The sequence below is a fragment of the Homo sapiens genome, chromosome 12 (assembly GCF_000001405.40).
Source record: "Homo sapiens chromosome 12, GRCh38.p14 Primary Assembly".
Classification (NCBI taxonomy): Eukaryota; Metazoa; Chordata; class Mammalia; order Primates; family Hominidae; genus Homo; species Homo sapiens.
This window is the reverse complement of record NC_000012.12, coordinates 105,091,740-105,115,959: the sequence shown is the minus strand read 5'-3', so window position 1 is coordinate 105,115,959 and position 24,220 is coordinate 105,091,740. Positions and strand designations below refer to the sequence as shown.

Sequence of the window (24,220 nt, the reverse complement as noted above, 5' to 3'; positions counted from 1 at the left end):
TCCATAAAGAAATATACACAAAGAAACTTATTTTGATAGCTTTTTCCTCTAAAAATACTTGGAAATCTTTTAGGAGTTATGATCTCCTAAACTATAATCCAATGCTAATTAAGTGTCTTATCCTCAGAGTACACATCTTTAGTATTTGAAGGTTTCAGAACTTTTTACGTGTTGTGTAATTTACTCAAACTTTTTGAAGTAAAAGCTCAGTAGAAAGTAAAAATCAGTTACCTGTAAGAATGAAATAAATCTCCCCATTTGAATTTGGCAATCACCTTCCACCATGCTGGCATCTGTAGCTGTAAAAGGCAACATGAATAAGCATATTTCATTTTTTAAATTTAAACTCAATCAATACCAAAAAAGGGGGAAAAGTTTTTTTTTTTCATTAGGACATCTTTTACTCTGCATAGTATTGAAAACAGAATTTTTACACCAAAGAGAAAAATCAGACAATCATTAATCAAATAATTAGAAGTATTTGCTTCACTATTTAATGAATTCAAGGAAAATTCTCATCTACCTACAGTACTTCGTAAAGTACAAAGATATCACAAATTTGCTGCTGCTTCCTCAGCTTTTTTACCTGTTTACCAAACATACCAACAAAAAATATGAATACTTATTTTTCTCACACTATTATATAATCATAGTAGTCCTAAAATTGTCTGTTAACTTTTTGTTCATTTCAATATCAAAAAGGCATCACAATTTGGAATTTTAAACTTACCTCCTTCTCCATAAAACAAGAGACCATTGTAAAATTTAGTTTCAGCCTGTTTTTAAGAAAAAAATTAAAATAATTTTAAAGGTTGTTTTGTTTCCAAATTCCTATGCTCTCTTAGATCTGTATACTTAGTAATAAACAGAGGGCTACATCATTTGCATACAAATTCATTTAAATTCAAAATCTGTTTATAAAGCAATTCATCTTTAGAGTAACAAAAATATTACTGATACTCAAAGCTGTATCTTGATTCCTTTAGCCTTTACTTCATCTTATCTGACCACCCTCACTGTCCCACATCCTCCCATTAGTTTATGGGAAATAAAGAGCAACCACATGGTATCAAAAAGCAGGAGAAGAAAATACGAAGTTTGTCAACTTCTACCAGACTTTTAATGGTTCTTGGGTAAGGAAACACAAAACTAAATGCATTTTAAGAAAAAAAAATCAGTTTTCTCTAGATAGCCAGTATATATGGCAGGTAACACAAACTCTGGAGGTTTGTAAACCTAGATTCAAACTGTTGACTACCAGTAAGATGTTATGCAAGTGACACTCTCTTTAAGCTTCAGTTTCCTCATCAATGTCTCACCTACCTCCTGGGGTTACTATAAGGATTACAGTGTTAGCCTGGTGTTTTGTACATACTAAGTACTCAATGAATGGTAGTCCGTATTAGTATTACGTTAAATAAATAATTCATTCAACATTCAATAAATATTTATTGCACACTGTACATATATAAACACATACTTGCTTCTAAATGATGTTTTTAAAGTTTTAAGACAAGAATTCAAATAATTACCTCATATTTTAATTTCTTGATTTCACAACAAAGTGCAGCATAAACAGTGATGACTTTGTTTAAGACCTAGTTTCATGAGTAAAAACAAAATAAAAAGTAAATTGTTACAGATAACTAAAACATTTTTAAAACAATTTTTTAGATTTAGGATTCTGTACCTTGTTTTCAGTCTTTATGAGTTCCAAAAGAGAGGACTGTTCATAAGGCAAAAGCTACAGAAACAAAGGAAAAGAACATTTCTTTTAATTTGAAAAATAACTGAAATTTTAAAAACACAAATTGAGGCTAGCTTTATTCGACTTAAACTTGTGTTAGATCCTGTACTCAACATTAGCACCATATCAACTACTTCATCCAAAACAATCTCATTAGACAACACGTAAGGAAAGAAATGGCCCAACATGACACAATCACGACTCTACTTGTCCTATGGAGCATAAGGTGGCTGATTATGAGTGCAGTATAAGAAAATGCAAGGTAATAAGGTAATAGTAACATTATTAAACTCCATTAGTTATGATCATGGGGAAAAACCTTTCATCATTTTTGAATTTTCTATGCAGCCACAAATTTAATAAGATATTGTAGCTAAAGGGTCAAAATAAATTAAGAATGAAACAAGACAGAAAATACATCTTTTCTTGTATAAATCCATGCTCAGAAACACTTAAAATAGTATGTGGAGTTCACTCCTAAAGCCCGTTCAATTTCCACCTCTTCCTGATCATTGACTATATGTGATCTATTTATCAAGTGAAATCTCAGATCTCCCTTCTGGTTACATACTAACTAACTATTTATGCAAGTAAGTTATTATATACCCTTTCTCATTAGGTTGTAATTTTTGTTTACAGAGGTTTTATCTGAGTTTGTGGTTTTTCCCAAAATACTAAGAACCTTGTATAGTAAAAACAATAAAATAACTGCCCAATAATAGAACTTAAACAGAGGTTCCGAAGAGAGCAACTGCGGAGATGGAGTCTGTCATATAATAAGATTGTAAAGATTAGAAAGCTTCTGTAGGGGAAGATAAAAACTAAGAGATGATTTCACCCTTTTATAAAATCTGAGAGTTGAGAAAAAAAACAGATTTTATAATCCTATCTAGAAGAGGCCCTTAAAGCCCAACAGCAAGTCTTAAAAAAATCAACAAGTATTACTTAATGGCGAGAAAGCCCAACAGCATCTGTTTAAAAAATCAACATGTATTACTTAATGCCAAGTGACAGATATATGAAACTTATTACCCTCAGAGATAGTACAGGTTGAGAATGACAGTTTCCTAGTAGAGTTCCTATAACTTACATACAATGATTCTCACAGAAGTGTTGAGGAACAAAAAGAGACAATTACAAATTTGGGGGGGGATGATTTTTAAAGTAAGACTAAGTCTATCCAGCCTGCAAGAAAAGAAGTCAAAGGAAAGTAATTTCAGTTTACAAATATATAAAGTATTTGTGAGGCAGTTCAGGGTATTGGATAAGGGCACAGGCTCTGGAGTCAAGCTGCCTGATATTCATTATTTAACTAAATGTGTCACTTACTTGACTAAGTTACTTAACTTTTCTATGCCTTAGTTTTCTCATTTACAAATGGAGATGACATTGTATCTACTTTATAGGATTGTGGTGGGAATTAAAAGTCAATACTTGTCCTATAATGCAATACTAAAAAGATAACCCAATTTAAAAATGGGCAAAGGATGTGAACAGACATTTCTCCAAAGAAAACAGACACATGGCCATAAGCACATGAAAAGATGCTCAACATTATTAGCCATCAGAAATGCAAATCAAAGCCACAATGAGCTTTCACATTCACTAGGAAGAATATAATCAAGACAATAAAGGCTGGCAAGGATGTAGAGAAACTGGAACCCTCATGCAGTGCTGGTAGTAATGTAAAATGGTATAGCCATATTGGAAAACATTCTGGCAGTTCCTCAAAAAGTTAAACATAGTTACCACATAACCCAGGATTTCCACTCCCATATATACATATGTATAAAATATACACACAATGTACACACATTTTATATACAATATACTTATATATGTCTACACAAAATCATGTGCCCAAATGCTCATAGCAGCCAAATAGTAGAAAAATCCAATGTCTATCAACTGATGAATGGATAAATAAAATGTGGTTATCCATTCCTTACAATGGAATATTATTCAGCAACAGCAAAAAAAGAAAGTACTAAAAACATGTGACAACATAGATGAGCCTTGAAAACATAAGTTAAAGAAGCCAGCAACAAAGGAGCACATATCGTATGATTTCATTTATATGAAGTGTACAGAGGAGACAAACACATAGAGATAAAAAGTAGATTGACTGGTGGTTGCCTAGGGCAGGTATGCCATGGCATGAACTGGGGGTTGATTATCACACGGTACATGGTTTCTTTTTTGGGGGCTGAGAACGTTCTAACATTGACTGTTGTGATGGTTGTACAACTCAGTGAATATGCTAAAAACAACTGAATTATACAATTTAAATGAGTGAATTGTATGATATATGAATTATATCTCAAGAAAGCTGTTATAAAAACAAGTCAGTGTGTGACTTAGGACAGTGTGTAATACACAAGTGCTCAATAAAATGTAAATTATTTTTCAAGTGGTAACAAACTAATTTTAAAGATAAAAGAAATATTTCAAAATGGAAAGAGTAATGTATTTTATACATTAAAAAATTACTCACACATTAACATCTATATAGCATGAGAGAACTTTTCAGAAATGGTGAAAATATTCTCTATCTTAATTGGGATATGAGTTACAAGTGTTTGGCAAAATTAAGAGTATCTGCATTTCACTCTATGTAAAATAGTCTCAATCAAGAAAAAACAAAGCCTGAATATTCTATCCAGCCCTCATTTTCTTAATAATGAAAATCAAAGGCAAGCTCAAAGACTTGGAGTTTGTGTCATTCTTTGACACTAAAGGCTGTGTGTTTGTCATTCTTAAACAGAAAACACACACATTTAAAAAACATCTGCATGGCTTAGAGAAAAGGAAATTAACAATTTTCTCCAACTTTCATTTTGTTCTTAGATTTCAAATAAAAATACTTTTTCCATTTTAAAAAATTATGTTTTCAGGATATAGTATGTCCAGAAAATATATACATATATTTTTAAAAAATCAAATCAAACCTTTAATGCTATAGGATCAAGATTGAAATCCCAAACATCTCCAATTGAGTCATCCAGAGCGTCCTCAATTCTTCTCAGTTGAGAGGTATACTCCTCAAGAAATTTCCCATAATTCTTAAGTTGGACTTCGGCATGAATTTCTAAGTTTAAATTTTAAAACAGTATGTGATAAGTGCAAGTAATGAATTGCAGGACATTTACTTCAAATAACCTCAAAAGTCACGCAAAGCACTGTTAATTATTACTCTGGAATGTCTGGACTTCCTGAAAATAAAGTTCCAAAGTTAAACAACAATTCAGCTTTCAATCTTCTCTATACACGAAATAATTTTAAAAGCAGTAGATGTTACCATATATAAAGTTACTACCTTAAAACCCTAACATATTATGAAAAAGCCACTAGCCCATCTACCCCCATAATAGAGGGCTTTGAACCAATCTGAAAAGTGCCTTAAACAATTCAATGTCCTGATTCTATCTTTTAGTCATGAACAACTCTTTTGCAAAAACAAATATTCATGATCTGAAGGTGAAAAAAACAGTCTGTCACAGAAGTAACACTTAAAAATGTAGTTTTTAATTCTATACACACTAATGTTTAATAATACACCTAAATATTTTTAAATGGAGGTTTTATACCTGCTTGAGCATATTATTTCTATAATGTCTAAAATTTAACCAAGATATTTGTTAAATTATTTAACTGTCATAATCAAGTTGGAAAAACCAGCAAAGAACACTGCTTGACTACAGAATACTATGCTGTTCTTCACAGAATTAACACATTCATAGGTAACTTTAAGGAATCATTGGAATAAGCTGGATTTTAAAATATGCCTATTCGTCAAAGTATTTCACGTTACACATAAAAATTCATTACTTGTTCCCAAAGGTAACAAATTCAACTCCAACTCAGTTTCTTTTATTGATATGAATAACTTTATTCAACCTTTGTCTTCTAAAAAAGGTAAAAATTTGCTCTCCTCAAATTAGCAATGTGAAGCAAGTAAGAGAAAGTGTGTTCTGACTCATGCTGTATTAAAGTATAAAGACCTAGCCCCCACTCTCCTTTATTCTTCAACCACATAAAGTTTTAAATCCGGTGAATCCATTTAGTTCATTAAGGTTTCTGTCTTATTATAGCATTAATCTAGGCAATTTTGGAAAACAATTAGTCTAGATATGATTCACAGACCAAAAATTAATGAACGCCAAGCACAGGGAGGTGTTCTCTTCCCTACAGCTTACATATAAGACTGCCCAGATTCTCAGAACCCCAAATAGTTGTCTTATTCTCAACTACACAGGAAATGACCAGTCAAAGCTGCATTTGACCAGCAAATGACTTCTTAAAGACAATGCTAGGCCGGGCATGGTGGCTCACCCCAACACTTTAGGAGGCCAAGGCCGGTGGGTCGCTTGAGACCAGGAGTTCAACATGGCAAAACCTTGTCTCTATCCCAATTTAAAAAGAAAAAATCAGCCAGCTACTAAGGAGGCTGAGGTAGGAAGATCACCTGAGCTCAGCTGGTCGAGGCTGCAGTGAGCCGTGGCGATGCCACGGCACTGGGCGACAGAGTGAGACCTTGTCTCGAAAAAAAAAAAAAAAAAAAAAGACAATGCTAGAGAAACACCACGCCAATAAATCACTCCTTTAGTATGTTCAGGGATTCACAAACAGGAAACAGAAAACCTAAAATAACATTAAAAGTTCCTTGCTGACAATAAACGGTTGTAAAATTGGTGAAAGTTAAAATAACAAAAGTTGAGATAAGAACTACATGGTAATTTTTTAAGAGTAAAAATTCCAAAAACCTACTTAACATGCTCATCTTTGTCAACAGACTGCACTCCTTGTTTTATCTTTTTATCCCTAATATCTAGCACAGCCACTGGTTGTAGAAAATATCTGTTGAGTGAATCAGACCATTCTACTCCAGGCTGAACCATTTTCAAACTCAATTAACATAACTCTATTCCAATTTTTTTTGAAGATACCAGTTCGTCATCTTTGTCCATAAAACATATATGACAAGGTACAGTTCACTTTATAACAATACAGAATCCCCTCCACAAAAAAAAATTAAAAGATTTTGTCATTATCTCCAAGGTTAATTTTTATGCTGCATAAGAGCTAATACCTTATTATCACCCAGGCTAGAGTGCAATGGCGCGATCTCGGCTCACTGCAACCTCCGCCTGCCGGGTTCAAGCGATTCTCCTGCCTCAGCCTCCCAAGTAGCTGGAATTACAGGCGCTCGCCACCAAGCCCAGCTATTTATTTTTTAGTAGAGACGGGGTTTCACCATGTTAGCCAGGCTGGTCTTGAACTCCTGACCTCAGGAATGTTTTGTGAAAAACTGCAACCCATCCTGGATGTAGCTCACTCTTCTCTGAGAGACTTGTAAAACCTAATTCATCTAACATTGTAGGCATTAGTCTCTCTTCGTAAATCAAGCAAAATTCATCCGGAATTTTTAAAAGCAACGTTCCACCTTTTGGGAAAACTATGAGGGAAAAAAAAAATCACAAACAGCATGCTCCAATCTCTCTTAGATCACTTACACAGATTACTATGACCAAAGATAAGAAGCAGATTGCCAACTTGTATTTATTTCAAGTAGAGTTTCACTACAATTAATTTGGCCTCAATATTTTACTGAAAGAAACACAATTTGTTTATTTCGGGATAGACTTCTAAGTTAAAATCAGACAATTCGATCTTGTGAAGCAAAATTTGAAGATTTGCTGTAATTTTTGAAGCCTTTATAACTGCGATGGAAACTGCAGAACATCACTGAAAAATATCACTTAGCATAAATAAAAGGCCTGGAAAATGATAAAATGACATTCACGTGTTTATTTTCGCAGGGTGAAAAGTTCTTTTTTCGCTCCCTTCTACGGTTATAGCAACGCGATGGGAAAGACACCCAAACTTGCAAAAGTTGATTTGGGAGGAAAAGAAGAAAAACAGGAAACCGAAACAGGAACCCAGACATCAGCGTCCTCCAGAGCTGAACGCTCAGAATCTGGCGAAATCCCCAAGAGGCCAGAGACAGAAGCAGCCTGGGATCCCGGGGCCGCTGGGCCTCCCGGGCGCGCCCCGCCCAAGCCCCGGGGCAGCTGAAGGGGGACGCCGCTCCCCGCGGGGCACCGCAGGCTCCCCAGGAGAGTCTCCGCCTCACACGCCGAGCCCTGAACGGGCAGCCTGACCCGCCGTGGCTGGGACCCCAACCCCGAAAGTAACGCTGGAGAGCGCGTCCCTCGCACACCCCAAGGGCTCTGAAGTGTCCCGCACCAGACGGCTGCGCAGCCGTCCCTCTCGCAGGAGCGCTGCCCAGCCCAGAACAGCGGCGGGCCGAAGGAGCGTCCACCCGCAGCCCTCGCCCTGCAGCTCCCTTACTCTGCGAGCCGTCGTCAACGCGGTCAAACTCCCAGTCCGGGGACAGAGTCTCCACCGCCATCACCCCGGCGCCTCCCACAGACACAGCCCCAACCAGCCCGTGCGGCGACGACGGCCTCACCCCAGCTACTGTCACAGCACGTGACTTCCGGCCCCGGCCCCGCCTCCGCTCGCGAGGGCCGGCCGGGCTCGTTGCCCCTGCGACCGCGGGGGCCCCTGGGAAAGCGAGTCCTCCGCCGTGGCCGAAGGCGGCCGCCATGGCGCCGGCAGTGCCAGCGGGCGTCTTGCGACCCGGCTCGGGCTTCGCCACCATTCACTGTGCTTCTCAAGCCACTTCGGCACTCTAATTTCGCCCTGCTCTCTCTAGACGATTTTTAATACCTGGGAAAGTTACTCCCCAGTCTAACCTAAAAAGGTAGAATTGATGGGGTGGGGAATTAACAGGAAGGCATGATCCTCGAGGATAACGCTGACCAGGCGCTTCTTCCAACAAGCCTGTTTCCCTCTCTGTCGCCACCGTAGGAGTTCCTACAGCTCTCCCGCACATTCTGTACGGATTGTTTTTTAGTCAAGACGTTCTGTGCGAGAGGAGAAGTTACTTTATGAACACCCTAACAGGGGATCTTACGACCTCTTCCCCGCTCTCCACTCAGTCCTTTTAAAAACGCGAGGCAGGATGAAGAACGCTATTGAAGTACATTCTAAAATGATCCCACCTGCAATTTGGATTTTTGGAGAATCGGGATCGGTGTAAAATTCTACATGCATACACGTATTTGCACAAGAATATTTATAGCAACGTGGTTTTTAATAGGAAACTATCTAAATGTTCATTACAAGTGAATTACATAAAGCTCAATACATCCATACTACGAATCACTGAAGAGCTGCTAAAATAGATGAAATATATTTATAATGGCATGAACAACCGACACAAGACAGTTGCAGAGTAATGTGTATTTGTGATTACATTTATGTTTTTAAGTTATACAAACGCGTATGTGCCTACGTGTATGTAAATTCATAGGAAGACAAATCAGAGGACGGTGGTTACCTGGGGAAAAGCATGTGTTGGTGAGTAACAGGATTTTCAAGTTTTGATGTGTCTACTTATGTGTTTTGAATCCTTAACAATGAGAATTTATTAGGGTTTTACTCTTGTAATCTTAAAAAGTACCGAAAAGAACTAATCAATGTAGGCAAAAGGTCTATTGAAGAGCATTCTTCTGAGGTCATTGGATCTGCCCTGAGTTAAATGTTTATTGAGTGCCCACTGGGTACCAGGCACCAGGCTAGATGCAGAAACTATAAAACATGTAAGAAAATTGCTTTCTGACCCTATGGCAGACTTAGTGGGCATTTCAGAAAGAAAAAAAAAATCTTGAAAAGAACAGGCATCCTTAGGGTCTAATGGCTGACAAACTTTTTTCCTGTACTTTCTGTGTGACCATGAGTTTGACTTTCCTGGATTCTTAACATTTGCATTAAATCACTGTAATTAATCTCCCAGCAGCTCATTGTGATAAATTGAACTTACAAGTCAGAAAAATTTGAGTCTATAAATACACTAATCTATTAAAGTTAATAGATTAGTAGCAAGAGGCAGTGTCATGTAATAATTGAAAGCACAGTTTTGACTGCCAAATTGCCTAGGTCCAAATCCTGGCTCTGCCACTTACTAACCATGTGATCTTGGGTCACGTAATTTAACCTCTGCCTCAATTTCCTCATCTATAAAATGAAAATAAAATAAAACTAGTAAACACCTTGTGGGATTCTTACGAGGACTAAATTAGTTAATACATATAAGGTACATAGAACAATACCAACCACATACTGTACCAGGTTGCTATTATGAATCAATATAGATTTATCTTAAAAAGATCTCAGAAGTCCCAGATCTCACAAGTCCCAGTGTGGTGGCTCATGCCTGTAATCCCAGTACTTTGGGAGGCCAAGGTGGGTGGATCACTTGAGGTCAGGAGTTTGAGACCAGCCTGGGCAACGTGGTGAAACCCTGTCCCTACTAAAAATATAAAAATTAGATGGGCATGGTGGTGCCTGCCTATAGTCCCAGCTACTCTGGAGGCTGAGGCAGGAAAGTCGTCTGAGCCACTACACTCCAGCCTGGGCAACAGAGCAAGACTCCATCTCAAAAAAAAAAAAAAAACTCAGGGATTTTCTGTCTTGATCTTAAATATGTTTAAATCAAATTTCACAGCCTATAATTTCAAATTTTGTTAGAGAATTACAAATTAGATACCAAATAGAAAAGCACATTCACTAAATGAAAAGTGCTATCTGAAAGTTATTTATAAAAATGTCCTATTGTTCTTAGACGTAGTCTGCAGAAGGCAAATCATTATTTTAAGTAATCACATATTCTTCATTCTACTACTCTTCATTCACACGGTACTTTCTGAAAAGCAAGCTTGGAAATAGAAGGAGAAACTTTTCATATGGGCAATATTGTGCTATTCTGAGAGCTTCTGTGAACTTTAGAACAGCTGCCTACAGAAGGTGCCTGCCTGCCAGTTCCTAGGAATCTGTGCCTTTAACTTACAGCCCCATATACCCACACCTTAAGTTCTAGTTTATTCCATACCAAAATATTTTACATATATGTTATATAGCTAAGTTCTTGGTGAATTTGTTTATTAACTTACATTAAAAGTCTTCTTCCAACTGCTATTCACCCCAGCAATCCCATTACTGGATTTTTACCCAGAGAAATGTAAATCATTATACCATGAAGATACATGCATGGGAATGTATCTTCCCATTGCAGCACTATTCACAATAGCAAAAACATGGAGTCAACCTAAATGCTCCTGAATGACAGATTGGATTTTTAAAATGTGGTACATATATACCATGGAATACTATGCAGCCAAGAAAAAGAACGAGATCATAGCTTTTGCAGGAACATGGATGGAGCTGGGGCTGTTATCCTTGGCAAACTTAGCACAGGAACAGAAAACCAAATACCACATGTTCTCATTTATAAGTGGGAGCTAAATGAGGAAAGCTCATTAACACAAAGAAGGAAACAACAGACACTGGAGGCTAACTGAGAGTGGAGGGTGGGAGTGGAGAGAGGAGCAGAAAAGATAACTATTGGGTACAGGGCTTAATACCTGGGTGATGAAATAATCTGTACCACAAACCCCCGTGACATGAGTTTACCTATGTAACAAACCTTTACATGTACCCCTAAACCTAAAATAAAAGTTTAAAATAAATAAATACAATCTAAAATAAATAAAATCTTCTTCCTACAATAGAAATTCTATGGCAATAACTCACTAGAGACATTTCACTTAGTAGTTTGTCACAGAATCCTGCGTGTATCTGTTTAAAAAATTCCTAATATGTTAATTCATGTATTTATTTACAAAGTAATCCCTCACTTGAACAACCACTATAGATGTGTGACAGGTCTTCTCTCTCCACTGTCCACATTCTCTGTGTGAAGCTTCTCGAAACCTATCTGATCAGGTCATGCCCTTTTAGATCCTTCCCATTGCCTATGGTATGGAATTTATGCTTCATAGCATGTAACTCAAGGCTTCTTCCAATCTGCCCTTTTATTTAAGGGATCCTAAAATCCTTGTACTGGTTGGTTATCAGTGATTGTGGAATCATATAGATTACCACTATATGTATTTTTAGTAGAGACGGGGTTTTGCCATGTTGGTCAGGCTGGTCTTGAACTCCTGACCTCAGGTGATCCGCCCACCTCGGCCACCCAAAATGTTGGGATTACAGGAGTGAGCCACTGCGCCCAGCCTAGATTACCGTTATATCTAATTCCCTGAATTCCTGGTTGGACCAAGTGCTTCGGCCCTGTGCTTCCATGGTATTTACCACTTCAAAGTTATCTATTGACATAATTATCTTCACTATTAAGTTATGTATTAGTTTCCTATTGCTGCTGTAGCAAATTGTCACCAACTTAGTGGTTAAAAGAGTACAAATTTATTATCTTCTAGTTCTAGAGGTCAGAATGCCAAAATCAGTCTCACTGGGCTAAAGTAAAGGTGTTAGTAGGGCTGATTCCTCTTGGACACTAAGAATCTATTTCTTTGCCTTTCTCATCTTCTGTGCATTACTTGAACCTCTTGTTTCTCCCATCACATTTCCTACTATTGACTGATTCACCTGCCTTCCTCTTATAATGACCCTTGTGATTACATCAAGCTCACACAGATAATCCAGGATAATCTCCTTATCTCAAAAATCCTTACCTTAATCATATCTGCAAAGTCCTTTTAAACATGTAAAGTAACATATTCACAGGGTGTAGGGATTAGGACATGAACATCTTTGGGCACCTGTTATTCAGCCTAATACAGACCATCAGCTCTTTGGTATCAGGGACCATGATTTATTCCCACATTCCACAGTCCCTGATACATGTTAAGCACTCAGAAAATAATTACAGTAAATATAGGAAGTCAAGAAGCCTGAAGTACTTTCTTTTTTTTTTTTTTTTTTTTTTTGAGACGGAGTCTCGCTCTGTCGCCCAGGCTGGAGTGCAGTGGCGCGATCTCGGCTCACTGCAAGCTCCGCCTCCCGGGTTCACGCCATTCTCCTGCCTCAGCCTCCCGAGTAGCTGGGACTACAGGCGCCCGCTACCACGCCCGGCTAATTTTTTGTATTTTTAGTAGAGACCGGGTTTCACCGTGTTAGCCAGGATGGTCTCGATCTCCTGACCTCGTGATCCGCCCGCCTCGGCCTCCCAAAGTGCTGGGATTACAGGCGTGAGCCACCGCGCCCGGCCGCCTGAAGTACTTTCTGATAACTCCAATATCTGGATTTCCTGAGGGTCTCTTTTCTGTTGTCTGGTGATGTTTTTTTTTGTTATGTTTTGTTTCTTTTTCTCTTGGTTTTCCATCATTTGGCCTTATTTCCTGGTATAGCTGATAATTTTTTTAGTGCATCTTGACCTTTATGTATGAAAAATTGTAAACATAAGTTAAGCCTCTGAATGATGTCATCTTTCTTCAGAGGGGATTACTATATTTTCTGGAAGGCCATTAGTGTAGGGACAGATTACTTTAACCCAGTCTAGGACTGTTCTGATTAGAAACTGGGTTTCTGTCTTTGTGAGAGCTCATCTATTTCTGTTATCACCTCAGTCCTAGGGTATAGCTTTGCAGGAGAGCTTGGCAGAGCCTGCCAAACCTGATCAGCTTTTCCACCTCTCAGCTACTGCTTTCGGCTCCCCAGCCTCATAAACTCTCAGCTGCCACATTACAAATCAGCAGATGTCTTGAGGTGAAATGTGGTGCCAAATGTCAAGCTCAACTTTTTGGATCATCTCTCCTGAATTTCAGTTCCTCGAATCCTCACTGTCCTGGGTCTCCAATGCCTTCAAAAAGGATTTTAGCAAAAAAAGCAAAAATGGAAAAATTGGATAACATCAAACTTAAAAACTTCTGCATGTTAAAGTAAATAATCAACACAGTGAAAAAGCAAGCTATGGAATGGGAGAAAACAATTGCAAATCATATGTCTGATAAGGGATTGATTTCCACAATATGTAGAGAACTCTTACAACTCAACAACAACAAAACAATTTAAAAATTGGGCAAAGGATCTGAATAGACATTTCTCCAAAGAAGATATACAAATGGCCAAGAAGCATATGAAAAGATGTTCAACATCACTGTTAGAGAAGTGCAAATCAAAATCACAATGAGGTATTACCTCACACCCATTAGGATGGCCACTATCAATAAAACAAAAAATAACAAGTATTGGCAAGGATGTGGAGAAATTGGAACGCTTGTGCACTGCTGGTGGGACTGTAAGATGATGCAGTTGGTATGAAAAACAGTATGGAGGTTCCTTAAAAACCAAACATAGAATTACAGTATGATCCAACAATCCCTCTCCTGGGTATATATCTAAAAACAGGCTGGGCATGGTGGCTCATGCCTGTAATTCCAGCACTTTGGGAGGCCAAGGTGGGTGGATCAGTTGAGGTCAGGAGTTTGAGACCAGCCTGGCCAACATGGTGAAATCCCGTCTCTACTTAAAATGGAAAAATTAGCCAGGTGTGGTGGTACACACCTGTAATTCCAGCTACTCGGGAGACTGAGGCAGGAAAATTGCTTGAACCTAGGAGGCAGAAGTTGCAGTGATTGGAGACCACGCCATTGCACTGCAGCCTGGGCAACAAGAGCGAAACTCTGTCTCAAAAAAACAAACAAGAAACATGGAAAGCAGGATCTCAAGGAGATATTTGCACACTCATATTCACTGCAGCATTAATCACAATAGCCAAGAGGCAGAAGCAGTCCAAATGTCCATAGAGGAATGAATGGATTTTTTAAAATGTGATATATATATATATGTATGTATGTATGTATGTATGTATGTATGTATGTGATGGGGTGCAGGAAATACTACCCCAGCAGCTTCCAATTGTGCTTACAATAATATAGTCTCCCACTTGTCTGTATGCTCTATAAACATCTAAACCTTATCTCTTTGATACAGTTCAGTGCCAAGTATAATGCTAGGTACATAGATGATAAACATGTATTTGTTGAATGAGTGAACCAATAATTGTCATTTTTTTCAAGTGCTCTGTAGTAAATACTCAGTTTACAGGAAAAGTATTTCCTAATAGTTCTTCAACAGATGGCACTGTTTGTTAAGGAATCTAAAGATAAAAGAAATCATGTAATAAATGGCTTTTTTAGTTGTTCATTTCTTCAACCAGTATTTAATCAGGACTTTCTCTGTTTGGTATGTCACAGTGACCAAAACTCTTCAAAGAGCCCAATTGTCTGGTAAGTGAAATTTTTCAGATGTTTTAACTTAGGGGTCAGCAAAGTACAGACAGCAGATCAGTAAATAAAGTAAAACTTTACTTACTTTTGTAAATAAAATATCAGACTACAGCCATGCCCATTAATTTACATATTTTACATTAAACATAATTTACATTTGTGTTTCATCTATGGCTGCTTCACACTAAAATGGCAGTTGGGTAGTTATAGCAGCAATCATATGGCCCACAAGCCTAAAATATTTGTCACTTGGCCCTTTAAGAAAAAGTTTGTCAGCTGGGCATGGTGACTCACTCCTGTAATCCTAGCAGTTTGGAAAGCTAAAATGAAAGGGTAGCTTGAGCCCAGGAGTTCAAGAACAGTCTGGGCAACATAATGAGACTTGGTCTCTAAAAAAATTTGTTTTAATTAGCTGGGTGTGGTGGCATGCACCTATAGCCCCAGCTACTTAGGAGGCTGAGGCGGGAGGATCGCTCGAGCTCAGGAGTTCAAGGATGCAGTGAGCTGTGATTGCACCAGTGTACTCTACCCTCGGCAACAGAGTGAGACCCTGTCAAAAAAAGAAAAAAAAAAGAAAAAAAGAGGAAAAAAAGAAAGAAAGAAAGAACGAAAGAAGAAAGAGGAAGGAAGGAAAAGGAAGGAAAGAGAGGAAGGAAGGAGAAAAAGAAAAAAGGAAAGAAAGAAAAAGAAAAGAGAAAGAAAGAAGGAAAGAAGGAGAAAGAGGAAGGAAGGAAAGGTAGGAAGTTTGCTGATTTATCTGAACTCTAAAAGCAAAATAATATAAAAAAATTTTTTGCTGGCTTGACGCAGTAGCTCATGCCTATAATCCCAGCACTTTGGGAGGCCGAGGCTGGTGGATCATGAGGTCAAGAGTTTGAGACCATCCTGGCCAACATGGTGAAACCCCATCTCTACTAAAAATACAAAAATTAGCTGGGCGTGGTGGTGCGTGCCTGTAGTCCCAGCTACTCAGGAGGCTGAAGCAGGAAAATCACTTGAACCTGGGAGACGGAGGTTGCAGTGAGTCAAGATTGTGCCATTGTACTCCAGCCTGGGGACAGAGCGAGACTCTGTCTCGAAAAAAAAGTTTTGCTATATAAGTTATGTAAAGTAGGTTGAAATAGTCTACTTTTAAAAGCATAGACATTTTTGAAAATCTTCATGTCAAAATAATTGATAAGGACACTTCTAATAATGGAGGTAGCATAAAGTGGTCAAGTGAACCCATCTACAGTTAATAACTAAGAAAAGTGGCCAAAATATCTAAAAATGACTTTTTAAAAATCTAAAACAATAAAAGCAGGTAAAAACCACAGGAGAATTTGTTCAGCAACTGATAAGAATTATGAGTTTGTGGCTTTTTGTCTGATGGTGTCCCTCACCACTGAAGCTCAGCACTGCAGGCTTACTTGCTCAAACTGTCAGCAAACTGAGTACAGGGTTTGTTAGAAGAGGTCATCAGTTTGGGGAGTGACCTACAAAATGTGTGAGATCCAAAATCTGGGTGTAAACTCTGCCCAAATCACTGACTGACCACTAAAATACAGACAGCCTGATGAAATAACAGGAGTCCCTGAAAAGCAGAACTGCACTCAGTGAAGTGTATGAGTTTGCTGCTCTTTTGAATGCATATATTTCCCAACAGAGGTACACCTTGGGTAGCAGAAAGCTGAAGACTTATTTGAGGTAACAGCGAATAGAAGTAGAGCTGCCAAAGCAGTTTAGAATTTAGAAGGAAAGACTGATAATTAGGGCAACTGCAGATGGGTGTAACCCCCGCAATCTAAGTATAAACACTGGCCAAATCCTTCACTAAACTAAGAACGAAGCAGAATATAAACTGCTTCACTCTACTAAGGAGACAGGGAGTCAGGGCAAGTTTACTTCATTTAAAAACAAATAGTCAAACAGGCATGGTGGTTCACACCAGTAATCTCAGCACTTTGGGAGCAGAGGTGGGAAGATCACTTGAGCCCAGGAGTCAAAGACCAGACTGGGCAACAAAATGAGACCCCGTCTCTACAAAAAAATTTTAAAAATTAGCCAGGTAGCCAGGTGTGGTGGTATGCACCTGTGATCCTAGCTACATAGAAGACTGAGGCAGGAGAATTGCTTCAATCCAGGAGGTCAAAGCTGCAGTGAGCCATGCTCCTGCCACTGCACTCTAGCCTGGGTGACAGAGAAAGAACTTGGCTCAAAGAAACAAACAACAAAAAATGCCAGTCAAATAATTATCTGAAGAAAAAAATAGAATCCAGAGTGGCCACAATATGTTACATACAATGTACAGTTTTAACCAAAAGCTTTATAAGAAGATAACAAAATCTAGGCACTCAACAGTGTAAGACTCAAATATCCAATTAAAAATTATGAGACATACAAAGAAGCAAGAGAATGTGATCTATAACCAAGTGGAAAATCATGTAATAGACATAGAAAGGATAGGAATGGCCAGGCATGGTGGCTCACTTCTGTAATCCCAGCACTTTGAGAGGCCAAGGTGGGCAGATTGCTTGAGCTCAGGTGTTCGAACCAGCCAGGGCAACATGGCGAAATGCTGTCCCTACAAAAAATACAAAAATTAGCTGGGAATGATGGCATGTTCCTGTAGTCTCAGCTACTGGGGAGACTGAGATGGGAACTGGAGCCCAGGAGGTCAAGGCTCCAGTGAGCCAAGATTGCACCACTGCGCTCCAGCCTGGATGACAGAGTGAGACCCTGTCTCAGAGGAAGAAAGAAAGAAAGAAGGAAAGAAAGAAAGGGAGAGAGAGAGGGAGGGAGGGAGGAGAAATAATGGGAATGGTGAAATTTGCAGATGAAAATGTGAAAACAGCATTAAAATCATGTTTTACAGAAAATCTGCTGAATGGGAAAAAATATTTGCAAACTATGCATCTGACAAAGGACTAATATCCAGAATCTACAAGGAACTCAAACAGAGCAGCGAGAAAAAGCAAATAATCCTATCAAAAAAATGGTCAAATGACATGAACAGACATTTCTCAAAAGAAGATATATGAATGGCCAACAAACGTGAAAAATGCTCAACATCACTGATCAGGGAAATGCAAATTAAAACGACAATAAGATACCACCTTACTCCTACAAGAATGGCCATTATTAAAAAGTCAAAAAACAACAGATGGTGGTGTGGATGTGGAGAAAAGGGAATGCTTATACACTGCTGGTGGGAATGTAAATTAGTACAACCTCTATGGAAAACAGTATGGAGATTTCCTAAAAAACTAAAAGTAGATCTACCATTCGATTCAGCAATCTCATTCCTGGGTATCTGCCCAAAGGAAAATAAGTTATGTTAAAAAGTCATCTGCACGCATGTGTTTGTTGCAGCACAATTCACAATTGCAAAGACATGGAACCAACCTAAGTGCCCATCGACCAATGAGTGAATAAAGAAAATGTGATATACATACACCATGGAATATGACTCAGCCATAAAAAGAACTAAATATGTCTTTTGCAGCAACTTGGATGGAGCTGGAGGCCATTATTCTAAGTGAAATAGCTCAGGAATGGAAAACCCAATATCTTATGTTCTCACTTATAAGCAAGAGCTAAGCTATGGATGCACAAAGGCCATATATGCACAAAGTGATATAATGAACTATGGAGACTCAGAAGGGGGAGAGTGGGGAGATATAAAAACTATATATTGGATACAACATATACTACTAGGGAGACAGGTGCAGTAAAATCTCAGACTTCACCACCATACAACTCATCCATGTAACCAAAAACCACTTGTACCCCAAAAGCTATTAAAATATAAAAAGTTTTAACTGAAAAAAATAAAATAAGATAAAATTATGTTTTAATTTTTTTTCTTTTTTTGAGACAGAGTCTCACTCTGTTGCCCAGTCTGGAGTGCAGTGGGTGCAATCTCAGCTCACTGCAACCTCCATCTCCCAGGCTCAAGCGATTCTCCTGCCTCAGCCTCCTGAGTAGTTAGTATTACAGGTGCATGCCACTGCACCCAGCTATTTTTTTTGTACTTTTAGTAGAGACAGGGTTTTGCTATGATGGCCAGGCTGGTCTTGAACCCCTGGCTTCAAGTGATCTGCCTGCCTCTGCCTCCCAAAATGCTGGAGTTTTAGATGTGAGCCACTGTGCCCAGCCTGTTTTAGTTCTTAAAGGAAAACATGGGCTGAGTATGGTGGCTCACACCTGTAATCCCAATGCTTTGGGAGGCCGAGGCAGACCGATCAGCTGAGGTCAGGAGTTCAAGACCAGCCTGGCCAACATGGTGAAACCCCATGTCTACAAAAATACAAAAATTAGCTGGGCACGATGGCAGGTGCCTGTAACCCCAGCTATTCAGGAGGCTAAGGAGGGAGAATCACTTAACCTGGGAGATAGAGGTTGCTGTGAGCCGAGATCGTGCCATTACACTCCAGTCTGGGCAAGAGAGCAAGACTCCATCTCAAAAAAGAAAAGTAAATATGAACACAATGAGGAAAGAAATGTAAGATATAAAAAAGAGCCAAAAAAAAAAAGAGCCAAACAAAACTTTTAGAAATGATAATGAAAGATTTATGGAATGAGATTAATAGCAGAGTAGGCACAAGGAAGAAACTGTCAATAAATGTGAAGAAATACCAATAGGAACAATCTAAACTCAAGAGAGAGAAAAAAAAGAAAGAAATTAAGAAAATCTCAGATAACTTTGGGACAATATCAAGTGCTATAATGTACATATAGTTGAGGACCCAGAAAAGGAAGGACAGGAAAATGTTTAAGAAACAATGACCAAAATGTTGGCACATATGAAGCAAATAATAAACTTATATATCTTAAACTCTCAATAACCCCAAGCAAGACACACACACACACACACACACACACACACACACACACCATACTCACATCATGTTAAGATGGCTAAAAACTGTTGCGGGAAGTCAGGGACCCCAAACGGAGGGACCGGCTGGAGCCAAGGCAGAAGAACATAAATTGTAAAGATTTCATGGACATTTATTAGTTCTAATACTATAAAAGTATTAGAATTAATAGTTTTATAATTTCTTATGCCTGTCTTTACTGCAATCTCTGAACATAAATTGTGAAGATTTCATGGACATTTATCACTTTCCTAATAATACTCTTATAATTTCTTATGTCTGTCTTTAATCTCTTAATCCCATTATCTTCATAAGCTGAGAATGTGCATCACCTCAGGACCACTATTGTACAAATTGATTGTAAAACATGTGTGTTTGAACAGTATGAAATCAGTGCACCCTGAAAAAGAACAGAATAACAGCAATTTTAAGGGAACAAGGGAAGACAACCATAAGGTTCTGACTGCCTGTGGGGTTGGGCAGAATAGAGCCATATTTTTCTTCTTGCAGAGAGCCTATAAACAGACATGTGAGTAGGAGAGATATCACTGAATTCTTTTCCCAGCAAGGAATATTAATAATTGATACGGTGGGGAAGGAATGCATTCCTGGGGGGAGGTCTATAAACGGCCGCTCTGGGAGTGTCGTTCAATAAGGACTGAAATACACCCTGGTGTCCTGCAGTACCCTCAGGCTTACTGAGGCATAAAGCATTGGGAAATTCCAGCCTGGCAAATTCTAGTCAGACCAGTTCTCTGCTCTCGAACCCTGTTTCCTGTTAAGATGTTTATCAAGACAATACATGCACAGCAGGACATAGACCCTCATCAGTAATTCTAATTTTGCCTTTGCCTTGTGATCTTATTGCCCTTTGAAGCATGTGATCCTTGTGACCTACTCCCTGTTCATACACCCCCTCCCCTTTTAAAATCCCTGATAAAAACTTGCCAATTTTGTGGCTCGGGGTCATCATCACAGTTCTACCAATAAAAATAACTAAGAGAGTATAGTTGGATACAAACAATCCAACTATACAAAGAATAAATGCTTGAGGTGATGGATACCCCATTTACCCTGATGTGATTATTATTTATTTATTATTATTATTATTTTGAAATGGAGTTTGCTCTTGCTGCCCCAGCTGCAGTGCAATGGCGTGATCTCAGCTCACCCCAACCTCTGCCTCACAGGTTCAAGTGATTCTCCTGCCTCAGCCTCCGGAGTAGCTGGGATTACAGGCATGCACCACAGTGCCTGGCCATCTGATGTGATTATTATGCATTGTATCTCTGTATCAGAATATCTCGTGTACCCCATAAATACATACACCTACCTATGTACCCACAGAAATTCAAAATAAAAAAAGAATGCAGAGATAGACTGGGTGAAAAAAGAAGATCCAGCAATATGCTTTAAATATAAAGACACAGATTTTATGCAACAAAGGGATAGGGAATGATATACCATGATAACTCTAATCATAAGAAAGCTGGAGGGCCAGGCGCGGTGGGTCACACCTGTAATACCAGCACTTTGGGAGGCCAAGGTGGGCGGATCACCTGAGGTCGGGAGTTCGAGACCAGCCTAACCAACATGGAGAAACCCCATCTCTACTAAAAATACAAAATTAGCCAGGGATGGTGGCGCATGCCTGCAATCCCAGCTACTCGGGAGGCTGAGGCAGGAGAATCGCTTGAACCCAGGAGGCAGAGGTTGTGGTGAGCCGAGGTCTTGCCATTGCACTCCGTCTAAAAAAAAAAAAAAAAAAAAAAAAAAAAGCTGAAGTGGCTGGTGGCCATATTAACATCATACAAATTAGAGTTTGGAACAAAGAATATTATCTCAAATAAATAGAGACATTTCACAATGTCAAAGTGATTAATTCATCAAGAAGACATTACAATCCTAAATATATATGCTCTCAATAACAGAACTTTAAAATATATGAAACAAATTCTGACAGTATAGAAAGAAGAAAAAATAGATGAATTTACAATTATAGTTTGAGACTTCAACATTCCTCTTTCAGTATTTGATATAACAAGTAGACAGAATGTAGACGTATATAGAAGAATTAAACAATATTTTCACCAACATGTCTTAATTGATGTTTACAAAACACTCCATCCAACAACAGCAAAATACACATTTTTTTCAAGAGTACAGGGACTATTCAGTAAGATAGGCCTTGTGGTAGGCCATAAAATAAATCCCAATAAAGTTAAAGGGATTGAAATATAGTTATATTCTCTCACTACCATGAAATTATATTAGAAATCAGTAACAGAAGCATCGTAAACTCCATGGAAAACGCTAAATATTTGCACAAATCTCATGGACATCATGCTGAGTGAAAGAAACCAGGCTCTAAAAGTTACATACTATTGTGTTTCCGTTGATTTGACAACTACATTCAAACTACAGTCATAGAGAACATATCAGTGTTTATCAGGGCAAAGAGGTGGTTAATGGATATCACAACAAAGGGATAGGGCAAGGACTTTTTTCAGAAGGTGAGTAATGCAACTATTGATATTTTGACTGTGGTATTCCCTACACAAGTATATACATGTGTTAATACTCATAGAATTGTATACCAACAGTAAAGTCATTTTTACTGAATGTCAATTTTAAAACATCTAGTGTGGGGTTGGCCTTTGTGTGCATCTGGCTTCAGAATTCAAATGATGCCCACTGTTTGAATTTTTTTTATTATTTTTTTATTTTTATTTTATTAATTTTTTTTTTGATAGGGAGTTTCGCTCTTGTTGCCCAGGCCTGAGTGCAATGGCGTGATCTCAGCTCATCGCAACCTCCGCCTCCCAGGTTCAAGCGATTCTCCTGCCTCAGCCTCCCTAGTAGCTGGGATTACAGGCGTGTGCCACCATGCCTGGCTAATTTTGTATTTTTAGTAGAGACGGGGTTTCTCCACGTTGGTCAGGCTGATCTCAAACTCCCGACCTCAGGTGATCCGCCCGCCTCGGCCTCCCAAAGTGCTGGGTTTACAGGCATGAGCTACTGCGCCCAGCCATCACTGTTTGGATTTTTACTGTTTCTTTTCTGTGTCTTCTACAGTTTGGGCTACATTCTTTAGGTTCCTATGGTATTCCTCGGCAGCTTCAGGCTCACATCATGACAAAGCATCTGCCTTGTTCATCTCTCTACATCTAGCATCTACTACAGTGCCCAGCACATGACAAATGCTCAAACATTACTTAGTGAACAATTGTCCTTAAATTTGACACACAGCTTGGTGGAGTCAGGCATGGAGCAACATATTATCGCATTATTGCACAGATTACTGGTGATAACATGAAAATGAGAGTGGTTATTTCTACCTAGTTTAGCACTGTTCATGTGGCACTGTTTATTTCTTTTGCTCATTTTTCTTGATGTCCCGGTGAAATGGCTCCATTGTCTGGAGTATATCCCCTGGTTCTTTGTCACAGCCGAGAAAGAATTCAAAACATGGACACACACAAGGAGTGGGTTTAGGAGCGGAAAGTTTAATAGACAAGAAGAGAGAGAAAAAAGGCTTCCTCATGCTGAGAAAGCGGATTGCCCCAAAGGGACTCCAGTTTGGGGCAGAACGCAATCTGTTTTGTACGGAGGCTTGAGGAGGCGGTGATTGATTTACATCGGGCACAGGAGATTGGTTTGACCAGGTGTGTCATTTACGTAGCCAGCGAAAAGACTGTCCCTCCCATCCTAGTCTTTTTTTATGCAAATGCAGCCTCCTCCTGGCGGCAGCCATCATACCTGTATACGTGGTTTTACCTGAAGGCTGCTTTAATGCCAGCAAAGGCGGTCATAAGGAAAAGAGGGCGGGAGACCCCATATTGAATGTACCCGGGTTTCAGGTACAGCTGCCGACATTTACATATAAAAGCTTCTCAGGCTGCTTTCTGTTAAAGAAGAAGTGGCTTGGGGCCGCTTTTTATTAAAGGAAAATTCCACTGAGAACTTTCACCCTTTCTAGTTGCCTAAGAATTATTTCTTAATAACTCCTGTATTACCTGGTCAGTTATAATTGAATGCAGGAGAGTGAATGAACAATTGCAGGCTTTCTGGATGATGTTATTTTTCTCCAGACAGGATTGATCCTATTCTTTGGCAGGCAACTAAAGTCAGGCAGATCAGCTCATTCCAATCAGGGCTGAGAGCATGTGAGGCTAGGCTGCAGTCTTACAATAGTTGTACTATCTCTAGTTTGCACCCTTTCCTAGGGTAATGTCATTGAAGAGTATCAGCTGAGAGCTTGTGGTGTTTACTGGACTTCTTCCTTCTTGGCAGATGCTGAATTCCAATTTCATGGTACAGAAAACTCTGCTGTGCTTTTCGGTCATTTCTGCTTGGTTTAATAGCCTCTAATCCCATGCACCTCTAGAATCAGCAAGTACTTCTAGCTAAAAACAGTTATCATGAACTGAGTACACTTCTACATCTCTTATCTCCAAGAT

General features: G+C 38.9%; 1 protein-coding gene and 1 long non-coding RNA gene across 8 annotated transcripts in view, besides 5 other annotated features; one reads left to right on the top strand and one right to left on the bottom strand.

The window, feature by feature from the left end:
- The window catches only part of WASHC4 (WASH complex subunit 4), a 61,400-nt gene extending 53,171 nt beyond the window's left edge, over nt 1-8,229 (bottom strand). For all 7 annotated transcript variants that reach the window (XR_007063060.1, NM_001293640.2, NM_015275.3 and 4 more), the window contains exons 1-6: nt 8,099-8,229; nt 4,696-4,835; nt 1,691-1,744; nt 1,533-1,598; nt 731-776; nt 232-299 (exon numbers count right to left, since the gene is read on the bottom strand). Coding sequence is in view for 6 of the 7 variants with exons in the window: in NM_001293640.2 (NP_001280569.1) it covers nt 232-299; nt 731-776; nt 1,533-1,598; nt 1,691-1,744; nt 4,696-4,835; nt 8,099-8,159 (435 nt within the window). In the remaining variant the exon portion in view is untranslated. The remainder of the gene's footprint in view (nt 1-231; nt 300-730; nt 777-1,532; nt 1,599-1,690; nt 1,745-4,695; nt 4,836-8,098) is intronic.
- Nucleotides 5,963-6,122: an enhancer, noted in NCBI's record as "active region_6941". NCBI's record gives its function as "activates an Ori minimal core promoter by ATAC-STARR-seq in GM12878 lymphoblastoid cells {active_cell/tissue: GM12878}" and the evidence as "EXISTENCE:reporter gene assay evidence [ECO:0000049][PMID:35858748]".
- Nucleotides 7,681-7,930: a silencer, noted in NCBI's record as "silent region_4805". NCBI's record gives its function as "represses an Ori minimal core promoter by ATAC-STARR-seq in GM12878 lymphoblastoid cells {active_cell/tissue: GM12878}" and the evidence as "EXISTENCE:reporter gene assay evidence [ECO:0000049][PMID:35858748]".
- Nucleotides 7,961-8,120: an enhancer, noted in NCBI's record as "active region_6940". NCBI's record gives its function as "activates an Ori minimal core promoter by ATAC-STARR-seq in GM12878 lymphoblastoid cells {active_cell/tissue: GM12878}" and the evidence as "EXISTENCE:reporter gene assay evidence [ECO:0000049][PMID:35858748]".
- Nucleotides 8,141-8,420: a silencer, noted in NCBI's record as "silent region_4804". NCBI's record gives its function as "represses an Ori minimal core promoter by ATAC-STARR-seq in GM12878 lymphoblastoid cells {active_cell/tissue: GM12878}" and the evidence as "EXISTENCE:reporter gene assay evidence [ECO:0000049][PMID:35858748]".
- LOC414300 (uncharacterized) lies at nt 8,318-13,488 on the top strand. The gene is made up of 2 exons (NR_121211.1): nt 8,318-9,172; nt 13,240-13,488. It is a non-coding gene; the product is annotated as an uncharacterized LOC414300 (long non-coding RNA).
- Nucleotides 22,838-23,452: an enhancer, noted in NCBI's record as "OCT4-NANOG-H3K27ac-H3K4me1 hESC enhancer chr12:105486286-105486900 (GRCh37/hg19 assembly coordinates)". NCBI's record gives its function as "activates a minimal SCP1, AML or CMV promoter by ChIP-STARR-seq in naive H9 embryonic stem cells {active_cell/tissue: H9 hESC(naive)}" and the evidence as "EXISTENCE:reporter gene assay evidence [ECO:0000049][PMID:30033119]".